This window comes from Homo sapiens, chromosome 3 (genome assembly GCF_000001405.40).
Source record: "Homo sapiens chromosome 3, GRCh38.p14 Primary Assembly".
Classification (NCBI taxonomy): Eukaryota; Metazoa; Chordata; class Mammalia; order Primates; family Hominidae; genus Homo; species Homo sapiens.
This window is the reverse complement of record NC_000003.12, coordinates 74,899,529-74,912,627: the sequence shown is the minus strand read 5'-3', so window position 1 is coordinate 74,912,627 and position 13,099 is coordinate 74,899,529. Positions and strand designations below refer to the sequence as shown.

Sequence of the window (13,099 nt, the reverse complement as noted above, 5' to 3'; positions counted from 1 at the left end):
ATTCAAAAATTTGAATCTTTAGAGAATATATCTATAATATATTCCATTTTAAAATGCTTAAATATTTGGCCATATTTTGGAAAGAATGAGTATCCTACTAAAAATTGTGACTGTTTTATCTTTCTTGATCACTTTTTCTAAATTAAAAAATATTTCAAACATATGAAAGTGACATAGAATTTAAGGGAAACTTTGCCATAATTGCTGCAATTCTCTTTTTTATAAAATAAAACATTAAATATTGCATGAAAAGTTAAAGCCCAAGAAATCTAACTCACCAAAAATGACCACTTTTCTGAATCTGGTGTGTATACATCCAGATTGCTTTTTTTGTTATTATTTTGTATATTAGAATTCATTATAACAAGTTTACATTTTGTGATTCAGAACTTTAAATAGATAAAATCAAGTCATGCATGTCCTTTTGCAACTTTTAAGAATTCAGTATTGGGCTTTGAGATTTAAACGTTGTCACATGTTGACTTAGCTCATTTATTTTAACTACAGGTTTGCTCTTTCTCATATAAATGTGCGTAATGTGTTCATTCCTTTAGTGAGGGATACTTGGGTTGTTTGGTGGGGGGGGCTATTATTATTATTACAAGCAATTCTGTAATGAACATCTTTGTAAATAACTTAGTACCAAGAGTGCTATTTGATATATTTATCATTCAGAATGATTTGGACATTGCCCAGTTGGAAGAGATTCTCTACAACTCAGAATTAGCTAGCTATAGAAAAATGGCATTATAACAGGCTCAATATCAGTTCTGCATCATAGCCATAGACAAATATTTTTCTAGAGTAGACACCCAGAAGTAAAGTTGCATAATGAAAATATGTTTAAATTTCTAATTTTGAAATACTGCCAAGTTGTTATTTTAATTTCTATGTCCTTGGTAATTAGTGAGGTTAAGCATTTTTTCAACATGCTTATGGTCTAATTATATTGTTTCTTTAATGTGGTAATTCATAAGTTTCTTCCATTTTGTTCTTTATTGGTATTTCTTTATTGGTAAGATCTCTTCATATATTTTCAACATCAGTCTTCTACAGATAATTTTCTCCTAGATCACTATTTATTTTTAACTATGTAATGAGGCCTTTTGTTCTATAGAGATGGTGTTACATCTTTCTGTACCTTTTATTAAAATTAACTGACTTTTCCTGTTTAATTTGTTGTTTATTAATGCTCTTATCATGTAGCTTTTCCTACTATACATGTTGACTTTTTAACATATATAAACAAATTTTTTCTATTTCTTACAAACTTCTCTATTCATACCATCAAATATTATTTCCTCTCATAATCTTTGATTTATATTTTCCATAAAACTTGTCAATTTAGTCTTATCTAATTTTTTTCCTTGACAAATTCCTCTGTCTGTCTCTCTCTTTTTTTTTAATGCAGAATTGTTCCTGTATTTGTTCTATTTCCTCTGAATTTTAAATTTGTGTCTGGGGTTAGGTAATTCTGTGCTCAGTTGGCCATCTTGGCCAAATTTCCATAAGTTAAAAAAAATTTGAATATAAAAAGGCTAAATGCCAGAAATATTAACTATCTACATCTGTGACCTATCTGAATAGACTGACTTTAAGGATTAGAATAAACAAATGCAATTTTATTAGTCCAGGTCCTCAGTGAGGTAGATGCAAAGACAATTGTTATTAGTTCGTTTTCATGCTGCTGATAAAGACACACCCGAAACTGGGAACAAAAAGAGGTTTAATTGGACTTATAGCTCCACAAGGCTTGGGAGGCCTGAGAGTTATGGTGGGAGGCAAAAGGCACTTCTTACATGGTGGCGACAAGAGAAAAATGAGGAAGAAGCAAAAGTGGAAACCCCTGATAAACCCATCAGATGTCGTGAGACTTATTCACTATCACGAGAATAGCATGGGAAAGACTGGCCCCCATGATTCAATTACCTCCCCCTGGGTCCCTCCCACAACACGTGAGAATTCTAGGAGATAAAATTCAGATTGAGATTTGGGTGGGGACACAGCCAAACCATATCAACAATTAAATTTGCAAGGATTAAGGGAAACACCTAAGACAGAAAATATAGAAAGAGCAGAGAAAGGCTGAGAAAGCCAACAAACATGCAAGTCTGACTGTAAATTTTTAAAAAAGAAGGAAAGAAGTTCAATTGGATGCAGTCTCAAAAAAGATTTAGCAGGACTCTTGGCGAGTCCTTGAGTCAAGCCATCAGAGGATTCCTGCATCTCCCAAGAACAAGTTTGCCTTAGTGTCCTGTAATGTCAGCCATTCACTAGGAGCAGTTCATGTGACCTGAAGCCTCAGCAAAAACATAGGGATGGATTTTCCAGGTACTCAAGCCCCTAGTCAGTTAAAATCCCTGTAGTTGGAGATCCGAGTGGCATTTTCTTATAGCCACCAGGTTTATGTATATGTTTTCATCATTTCATTGAGAGTTATGTTATTCAAACTTCATGGAGTGCTGTTAACTATGTTTTCACTTAATTAGTATGTTACCTTCAGAATGGCAGGCATTGTATTTTTTACATATTTTGAACAGTACCTGCAGGAAACTGGTCACTCATTTTATTTTAAAAATATTTCTTATTATTAATTAATTAATTTATTTATTTTTTGAGACGGAGTCTCACTCTGTCGCCCAGGCTGGAGTGCAGTGGTGCAATCTCGGCTCACGGCAACCTCTGGCCTCCCGGGTTCAAGTGATTCTCCTGCCTCAGCCTCCTGAGTAGCTGGGACTACAGGCACATGCCACCACGCCTGGCTAATTTTTTGTATTTTTAGTAGAGGTAGGGTTTCACCATGCTAGCCAGGATGGTCTCAATCTCCTGACCTTGTGATCCACCCACCTTGGCCTCCCAAAGTGCTGGGATTACAGGCAGGAGCCACCGCACCTGTCCTAATTATTTTTTTTTAAAGACAGAGTCTTGCTTTGTCACCCTTGCTGGAGTTCAGTGGCACAATCATAGCTCACTGTAACCTCAAACTTCTGGGCTCAAGTGATCCTCTAACCTAAGCTTCCAGAGTATCTGGGACTACATATGTGCATCACCACACCTGGCTAATTTTTATTTTGTTTTTTTGTAGAGATGGGGTCTATGTTGCCCAGGCTGGTATTGAACTCCTGGCCTCAAGTGATTTTCCTGCCTCAGCCTCCAAAAGTATTGGGATTACAGACTTGAGCCACTGTGCCTGGCCTATAAATACTGATGATTATGAACTTAACGTAACAATCTCTTTATTTCTACCATTGAATATTGATAGTATAAAAGCACCAATTTTATTTGTTATTTATAAGTATTGGGAGGGCCAAAGGGTATTTTAAATTATCTCCATTACTGTGCTGAACAGATATAGCCTTTTCACCCAATTTAGTTCAATGGTAAGTGTATTAAAGACCAATAAATAAACACATTACGGATGGAAAACTGCATATTGGCCAATAAAACTCATGATCAGTAGCTTTTCTAACATTTCTAAACACTACTTTTATAATTGACATAGACGGTTCTGTGAACTTTTTCTTTAGATTTTTTTGGCAACCAAAATGTTTTTTTCTTTCTCTGCTTCATCATTTGTAGTTCTGTTTCTTTCCTCAGTACTCATATCACTAATTTATTCATGCACACTTAATTCATTTAGTTTTTCATTCTCAGCCAAGGGTACATTTTCTCTTACTTTTTTTGTTCTTTTCTGAAACTGCTATAATTTTAGGTTTTTAGTATTCTTATTTTCTGAAATAAATATGATATTCTAGATACAGTCTGCTCAGCAGTGGAATGAGGCAGACAATTACCTCTCCCCTTGCTTCATAACATGATGCCTTTTCAACCCCAAATAGCACGGCAATTTTTTGCTGGCAGCACAGACTGCAAATCCACATTTAATTTTCCATGCACAATCACTCTTCTCTTCACCCCCTCTCCTTTGGATGTCTAGACAATGGAGAGAAATCTAACATATTTTTATTGTTTTTCATTGAGTATATCCCACTTAACAAATGCCATTCTTCATACAGTTAGCAACATGTGTGTTGATTTTGTATTTGTTTTCTTTCCCTTAACTCTTGTTTATAATTTAAAATATCAATGTACTTAGGAAAATATTGTGGCTGAGTACATAGGAGGCTCTGCTATTATTTGATAAATGCATCTTGAATTAAAAATGTTAACAGGCCAGGCACAGTGGCTCATGCCTGTAATCCCAGCACTTTGGGAGGCCAAGGTGGGTGGATCACCTGAGGACACGAGTTCGAGACCAGCCTGGCCAACATGGTGAAACCCCATCTCTACTAAAAGTACAAAAAATTTAGCCAGGCGGGGCGGTAGACACCTATAATCCCAGCTACTCGGGAGGCTAAAGCAGGAGAATTGCTTGAACCTGGGAGGCAGGAGAATCAATTGAACCAGGGAGGTGGAGGTTGCAGTGAGCCGAGATTGCGCCATTGCACTCCAGCCTGGGCAACAAAAGCGAAACTCCATCTAAAAAAATAAAATTAACAAAAAGTGGATTTATTTTCATCTTGATCTTTCATAAAAATACCGAAATACAGTTTATGTGGCATACGCTATTCTGATTACTTAAGTATATTAATAGTTTTTAAAGTAATGTACACTCATTTAAAAATCAGAAAATATAAAAATACAGACATACAAACAAGAGAAAAACTAAAATGACTAGATGCTAAATATATAGGTGTATATATTGTGGACATATAGTATGCATAGATATAACAGCAGTCAAGTTAAAACACACACACACACATATATATAGGAATTATGCATACAGTTGACCCTTGAGCAATGGGGGGGTTAGGGGAACCAACCCCCTGCATAGTCAAAAATTCACTTATAACTTTTGACTCTACAAAACATTAACTACTAATAGCCTACTGTTGACTAGAAGCCTTACTGATAACATAAACAGTTGACTAACATATTTTGTATGATATATATATTGTATTCCATATTCTTATAATAAAGTAAGCTAGAGAAAAGAAAATATTAAGAAAATCATAAGGAAGATAAAATATATTTACTGTTCATCAAGTGGAAGTGGATCATCATAAACGTCTTCATTCTTGTCATCTTCACATTGGCTAGGCTAGGGAGGAGGAGGGCAGGAGGGGTTGGTCTTCCTGTCTCCAGGTGGCAGAGGCAGAAGAAAATCCATGCCTAAATGGCCCCAAGCAGCTGAAACCTGTGTTGTTCAAGGTCAACTGTAATTGCAATCATACTTTTAAGCATTATATATATTTTATATATATTTAAGCATTATATAAACAAACGTGTATATACACACACTTACATAAACATAATTGCAAAACTGCTAGTAATATTATTTCCTATAGATTTAACTGTATGGATCTCTGAGATGTGAACTCATATAACCTGAGCGTTCATGTCTATCTCCTGAATGGCCCTGTGAAAGGCTCACTAGCATTGCATTACACTGTTGTTTCATTTCAGACTATTAGTGTTAAGAATATTAACTTGATATAATTAAGGGTTTACACTTTTTGCCCAAGATCCTGAATATTTCTGCTTGATGTTCAAAAGGAGTGACACGTACAAAAAACTACAAAAGTACACCATCTTATGGCTGTCCTGGAAGTGTTAAGACAATGATCTTCTCACCAAGCTGAAGGGGAGCTTGACAGAGACCCCTTAAAATATCACTTAAAATGTGAGCCAAAAAGTTGAAAGAAAGCATTATGCTTCCAGAAAGCCTCAACCTAGAACACTGGGCATCTCAGCATTATTATATTCAAGTACTAAGTGGGACTTCAAATATCAACTAGCTAAACCATTCATTTGAACATGGAGGAAAGCAGGGATGGATTAGAGAGAGTTAAAGGCCTTAATCAAAATACATAACTGGTGTGGAGTTGAGAGTGTCAACACAAACCTCAATGAGTATTCTTTCTTCTTTCATTAGAGGTCAAAAACTGGAGCCTTCATTCCACAGGCAGACTGGCTAATTTGGCTGCTAATGTTTTCTTTTTCTGAAAAAAATTGAATTTTTGGTAAGATTTAAATATTAAAGGTAAATACCTGAAGAAAAATGAGATCTAGCAATTATAGATCCAAAATTCTAAAAATTGCTTTAAAATGAGTAGTGGCTACCAATTTTAGAAGAAACATACCCTTCGAGTGCTGTCCCCACCTGACCCACATGACTCAACGAGCAGTAGTGTTACCGGTCCAGTCATTGCAGACATTAGTGTTTGTCACCAAGTGGCTTCCCTGCTGTAGTACATTAAAGTGGAGATTTATCCTAAGAAGAAAAACAAGTTTCCTATTGCATGACTCAGAGCTTTCCTGGGACACTAGACTATCAAGTCATTCCTCAACTCTTTTCATGGTAGTAGGAGTCTTGTTCACTTCTGAAGTGTTTCAAGAGTGAAAACTATTACGGTGTTCTTTGGCTTCATGTTTCTTTAATACAACGTGGTTTTAATGAATGAAATCCAAATTATTCCTACTAAAGGACCTTTGGTGCTCTCCTAAATGATGTCCCCAATCATGGTCCCGAATATTCTAGAGTAGTCATGGAGGAACTTTCCTGCTCTGGCCCTATGGACATTTAACCTTTCCTTTCTGATTCCCAGTTTCCATTCTTTTTTGCTTTCCATTTGATTAAAAGTAAGAATCTAGCATCTTTGTATATGATTCCTTGTGCTTTTAGGTACTTAGTGCTTAAGCTACTAGTTTCTCAAAATTCCTTTACATAGCAGAGATCCAAATGTTCTCTCACCAGATGTGAGCAAGAAATAAAATGAATCATACTATGTTTCACTCCAGTGGAGACGCTGTAGTCCATTTCTTGGATTCTTCCCCCTTGAGAGTCTCTAAGGATTACCTACCAGAAGTCATTGATATTCTCCTCCATATTCTCCCATCTTGGAGGCAGAAATGCTAATCTCTTCCTGCTATGGTTTACTCTATGACATCATCCTGGCCAATGATTTGTAAACAGAATTTTCTGGGTAGGGCCTCTAAGAGACAAATGTCACAACTGCCACAATATCTAAAATGAAAAAGACTAGTCATAGCAAGTGTTGGCAAAGGTGTGGAGCAATGGGAACTCTCAGACACTATTAGTGGGATTTCAATTGGTAAAGTTTCTCTGGAAAGCATCTACTAATGTTTACCACATCCTCTGAGTTATGCAGGCACTGCTAGATATATTCCCCACAGAAATGAATACATGTGTTCACCTAAAAAGAACACAAACTCACTAGAATACTTATAGCAAAGTTCATAGTCTAATATAAGAAATAGCCCAAATGTTCATCAGCAGTGAAATGGGCAAATTAGGAATAACCGTAAAATGAAATACTTTATTACAATGAGAATGAACAAGCTACAATTACACCCAAGGATGACTATTACAACTGTAATCCTTAGTATAAGTCACCGACCAAAGAATACTCAGCGTATAATTCCATTTCTATAAAGCTCAAAACTAGGAAAAACTAATCTTTAGTGTTAGAAGTCAAGATAGTGGTAATCATTGTCTGGAGTGGCATGGGAAGCTTCTTGGAGGCCAGTATTGTTTTAATTCTTAATTGTTAACCTGGATGTTGATTACATGGGTGTGTTCAAACTGCTGACATTCACCTATCTGTGCACTTGTGATTGGACTGTGTAATACTTCAAATAAGTTATTTGAAAGAGAGGCAGAGAACTTGCCGGGCACAGCCCCCTTTGCCCTCTGGTCCTCATACCTTATTTCCAGCTGAAACACAGATATGGGTTATGCATGTGAAGCAGTCTTATTGAGACCCTGAGGGTAAAACCTGTAAATCTAAGATACCATAGTGAAAAGACAGAAAATGTCGCTCTTCATGATGACTTCACTGAATAGCTATGCCAACTCTCAATGCTTATTTCCAAACTTCTTGTTGCCTGAGACCAACTAACTGTTTACACATTCAGGACAACACTATGCTTTAAATATTACTTACATGCTGTTATATTTTTTCTTACCTGCTATCAAATGCAATTCCTAACTAATACATATTTTTGAGCCACTTCCCCTCAGTTTAGCAGTTCCAACATATGTAAGGTCAATCCAAACCACTAAATTTTACCATTTTTGGTAGCCCAAGAAATCTTCATGGTGGAACATGTTTACACTCAAATTTAAAATAGTACAGGATTTTTTTAGTTCATTATTATCAATGCTCTATTCACTGACAAAGATGTCTAATATCTTTGGTAAAAACACAATGTGCTCATGTTTGCTAAAAGAATATATATTTTATTTTGCATTTTCCTCACATATTTTATGTGTCTTTTTTTATTCTTTTCCACTTACCTCAAATGGCATTAATTACAATCAGTTGTTTCCTGCTGTTCCTCACACTAGTTCGTGGAGTCTTTGAGTGCAGGGATCTGGTTATAACCTCAGCATTTAGTATTGAGTTTTGTAAAGAAAAGATACATTCAATATATATATTCTAAATGTTACATGAGTACATTAAGAACAAATTTTAAAGTCACTGTGTATATATGGTGAACAGCAGACATATTGTCATTGTAGATATCATGTGTTAACCGTCCCTGTTTCTCTAGAGTTGACAACACTTTTCTCTAAAAGGACAGATTTTTTTGGCTTTGCAGGCCAAATGGCCTCAGCCACAGCTATCAACTCTGCTACTAAAGCAAAAAAGCAGTCATAGATAGATAATGTATGCACAGATAGATTTTAACTGTGTTCCAATAAAGGGTACTTAGAAAAACAAGCAATGATCCAGATTTGGCCAAGGGCCATAGTTCACCAATGCTGATGTGTGTAAGCTTATTGTAAGTAAAATCCCAAATTTCCACTCCTACCAATGAAGACAAAGGGATCAGAAACTTCTCTCCATTCTCTAAAATATATTGAAAAAGCAGAGGTTAGAGAATGTGGCCAATTCAGTCTATTTGGCTGCTCCCTTCTTTCCAGGACTTTGAATCTGGAGCAAGTAACACAAGGCAGGAAAGAAAGTCAGAAGCCATTCACTGTATCCACAGGGTGGTGTTGACAAGATTTTTCCTGATATTTTTGGCTTCTAACATTTCTGGAGCTCTGTTTTGTTTTTAATGATTGTAAACATTAAAGTGCAGATTTTATATGAAATGTAAATTATTAGATTCTTTTAAAACACTAGAAAAATCATACAGACCTTATACTAGCATTTAGACCTTATACGTGCATTTAGACTAGGCACGAATCTGCCACAGTCCCCATCACTCCCAGTTGTTTTCCCTGCTATGAGGCTAAGCATTAGTCATCGTTTTGTGTCACACATATGCTGTTGTTTTTCTTAACCTGGCCTTCACTCAGTTAGTTTCCCTGCCTAGTACATGTAAACATCTGAACGTTCAACTATGGATATAGGTCATCATAATATACTTTAATTTTTAGGATGAACCCCGTGTCTAAAACACTCTCCTCTAGAGTATTCAATAAGCATCATTATTAAACAATAATCCAGAAGCAAAGGTGAATTATTATTCTATACTCTGAGTATATGGAATCCATCCTCATTTTATATACTCTGAGTAGAAAAATAATGGCTTTCTTTAACTATAAAAAAATAGGCTGTCTTCTTAGTTTGGGGGTAAATGACTATACCCCCCCACCCACTTTGTACTTTCAAAAAAATTATGATGTCCAATCATATTCTCTAGTTTTTATTTGGATCCATGATTTCTAGACAAAAAGATTGGCAATTATACCTTTCTTCCTACAGAAGTATGAAAATATGTAAGTTGAGCTCATTATTAAGTAGACTGCTTCTTTCCTGTTTTTCATGTGTCTTTCATGAGGAGGGAGTTCCCTTCATGTATCATGAGTGGCCCTTCTCCTCCCTTTCAGGCACTCAGTCCTACAGAGGCTCATTTAATTTTCTGTGGATGTGTGCACCCAGACCCATCTGGTCTAGCAGCAGAATTTCCCTCTTAAGGTATGTTGTCTTTTCTGCTCTGAGAGTCCACAGGTTTACAAGTAAAAGCTTAGGGTGGTTAATTTAGGGTGGTCTGCTTCTTGGCAGATAATTCAGCTCAAATGAAAGGGCTGTATTTCTGTGTTGGAAATTTCATTTCTTGCAAATTTAATAACCATTTTCCCATATCAGTTTCATCAATAGTAAATGAGCCATTTGACCCCCATGTGTGTAATTCCTTTGTCTTATTTTTAAATATATTCAGAAGCCAGGCAGAGAAGGAGATGTTGCTGGGCAAGCTCCAGAACACCAACACGTATGAATAACAAACTATTATTCAAATTGTTACTTAGAGGCCAAGTTTTTAAAATGTTAGTCAATTTAATCAATACAACATCTAATACTAACCAAGTGATCAATACAAGTATCTGTCCGGGAAAGGTTATCTCCATGCATATCTAAGGATCTGTGTTTGTAGCTCCCTGATGATAGTGATTTATTGAGGGGAATCAGTTTTCTACTTAAAGGACCATTAGTCGTCTCAGAAAGCTTACAAAAACTGAACCATACTGTTTCATGCGTAAGTACCACTGCATCTACCATTTAAGGAGCTACATGTGATTTTAGGTCATTCAAGCAGGTACTAAAAGCCCTCAGTTTGAGAACGGCACAAATGTATCACTATGCTTCTTTAAATGGGGACAAGGGACAATCTGACAAAATGTCTTCTCAAAGCTGTTTTTAGCTGGCAGACCTCAAAGAGTTCTGGGACCCCCATCAGAAATTCATCCCTGCTTAGCTAACAGGCCTTTGATACTGCTTTTCTTGCTAGGGAAAATATTCTTTGCTCATTCATGGATTATATTTGTAAAAATTGATTTTTCACACTTCACCCTCTGGAACAAGATTTTGGTGATTTAATATGGGGACACTAAGAATTAGTAGTCACTATACAATTCATTCGTGGTCTCTAAAAATTGTAATTATCTGATACATTATATAGAATACATTTCAGCAACTACCAGACTATTATTAATAAGGGGAGTGGGTTGCCACAGATTGCAGTATATCTTTTTTTTTTTTTTTTGAGATGGAATCTCACTCTGTCACCCAGGTTGGAGTGCAGTGGCATGATTTTGACTCACTGCAACCTCCACCTCCTGGATTCAAGCGATTCTTCTGCCTCAGCCTCCCGAGTAGCTGGGACTACAGAAACGCACCACCACGCCTGGGTGATTTTTGTATTTTAAGTAGAGTTGGGGTTTCACCATATTGGCCAGACTGGTCTCAAACTCCTGATCTCGTGATCTGCCCATCTCAGCCTCCCAAAGTGCTGGGATTACAGGCGTGAGCCACCGCGCCCTGCCCTGTACAATTATATGTTTATTCTAGAAGCACAAGCCTATGTTTTAAGTATTACTTAAGAAAAAAAAAGAATGAGAAATAAAGTTACTTAACAGAAAAAGTAGCATGTATTTTTTACTTTATTGTTTAAAAGAAACTATTGAGAAAGTCATTCTGTTGCATACACTCTAAAAATACATACGATAAAATAGACTATAGTGGAACGGAGGAGGAACATGTAGCTCAATGGGCACTTTAAGATAATATCCATTTCTTTCTTTATATTCAAGTTGTATACTCAACATGTGAAAAATAATATAAATAAGTGATTTCTAGGAATTCTAGATGTATTAGCAATTTAAAAATTCAATTTGAAATAATGTCCTTAAATATATTTTTCAGCATTCTTTGAAACACACAATTGATGTTTGAGCAAAAATATAGTGCCCTATGAAGGCTATTGAATCTTGTCCTTTTCAATTTTTAAAATAGTCTAAGAATAGCTAATTCTCAATATCTTATTTTTCCCTATCCATAGGAAATCTCTCAGGTATATCTTATTTCAAAAAGGTGAATGCAGAACTCTAATGATACATTAAAATTGTTTGAGAGCATAAACTGGAAGCATGACACACCGTGAGTAGATTCTTATCTAGACTAATAGACGACTAATAGAAATCATTGCTACAGGTCTCTCAACCAAAATTATTCATTAATTCATTATTTTTCCAGAATTCCTTGCATGCAGATTTTTGTTAGTGGTTTAATGGAGAGGGAACATTGCGCAGGGAAAAAAAAATGGCCGCCTTGGAACTGCCACCCAGTGTAAATATTTACAAACCTGCCAACCTGGTGAGAGGTGACAGCCTGCTGGCAGTCCTCACAGCCTTCGCTCGCTCTCGGCGCCTCCTCTGCCTGGGCTCCCACTTTGGCGGCACTTGAGGAGCCCTTCAGCCCGCCGCTGCACTGTGGGATCCCTTTTCTGGGCTGGCCAAGGCCGAAGCCGGCTCCCTCAGCTTGCGGGGAGTTGTGGAGGGAGAGGCGCCAGCGAGAACCGGGGCTGCGCGCGGTGCTTACGGGCCAGCGCGAGTTCCGGGTGGGCGTGGGCTCGGCGGACCCCGCACTCGGAGCCGCCGGCGGGCCCCACCGGCCCAGGGCAGTGAGGGGCTTAGCACCTGGGCCAGCAGCTGCTGTGCTCAATCTCTCGCAGGGCCTTAGCTGCCTTCCCGCGGGGCAGGGCTCGGCACCTGCAGCCTGCCATGCCTGAGCCTCCCCCCACCTCCGTGGGCTCCTGTGCGGCCCTAGCCTCCCCAACGAGCGCCGCCCCCTGCTCCAGGGCGCCCAGTCCCATCGACCACCCAAGGGCTGAGGAGTGCGGGGCGCACGGCTCCTGACTGGCAGGCAGCTCCACCTGCAGCCCCCATGCAGGATCCACTGAGTGAAGCCAGCTGAGCTCCTGAGTCTGGTGGAGACGTGGAGAACCTTTATGTCTAGCTAAGGGATTGTAAATACACCAATCGGCACTCTGTATCTAGCTCAAGGTTTGTAAACACACCAATCAGCACCCTGTGTCTAGCTCAGGGTTTGTGAATGCACCAATGGACACTCTGTATCTAGCTACTGTGGTGAGGACTTGGAGAACCTTTGTGTCCAGACTCTGTATCTGCCTACTGTTGTGTGGAGGTGGAGAACCTCTTTGTCTAGCTCAGGGATTGTAAAGGCACCAATCAGTGCCCTGTCAAAACCAACCACTGGGATCTACCAATCAGCAGGATGTGGGTGGGGCCAGATAAGAGAATAAAAGCAGGCTGCCCCAACCAGCA

The 13,099-nt window shown here is 38.0% G+C and overlaps 1 long non-coding RNA gene across 2 annotated transcripts; it reads right to left on the bottom strand.

Annotated features, from left to right (window-relative positions):
• Positions 1-5,042: 5,042 nt before the first annotated feature.
• Positions 5,043-12,158, bottom strand: LOC105377168 (uncharacterized). 2 transcript variants are annotated; one of them, XR_940973.2, is made up of 3 exons: positions 12,118-12,158; positions 5,906-6,002; positions 5,043-5,197 (listed from the first exon to the last, which is right to left on the bottom strand). It is a non-coding gene; the product is annotated as an uncharacterized LOC105377168 (long non-coding RNA). The 2 variants fall into 2 exon arrangements; XR_940974.2 differs by lacking the exon at positions 12,118-12,158 and adding an exon at positions 6,144-6,261.
• Positions 12,159-13,099: the final 941 nt, after the last annotated feature.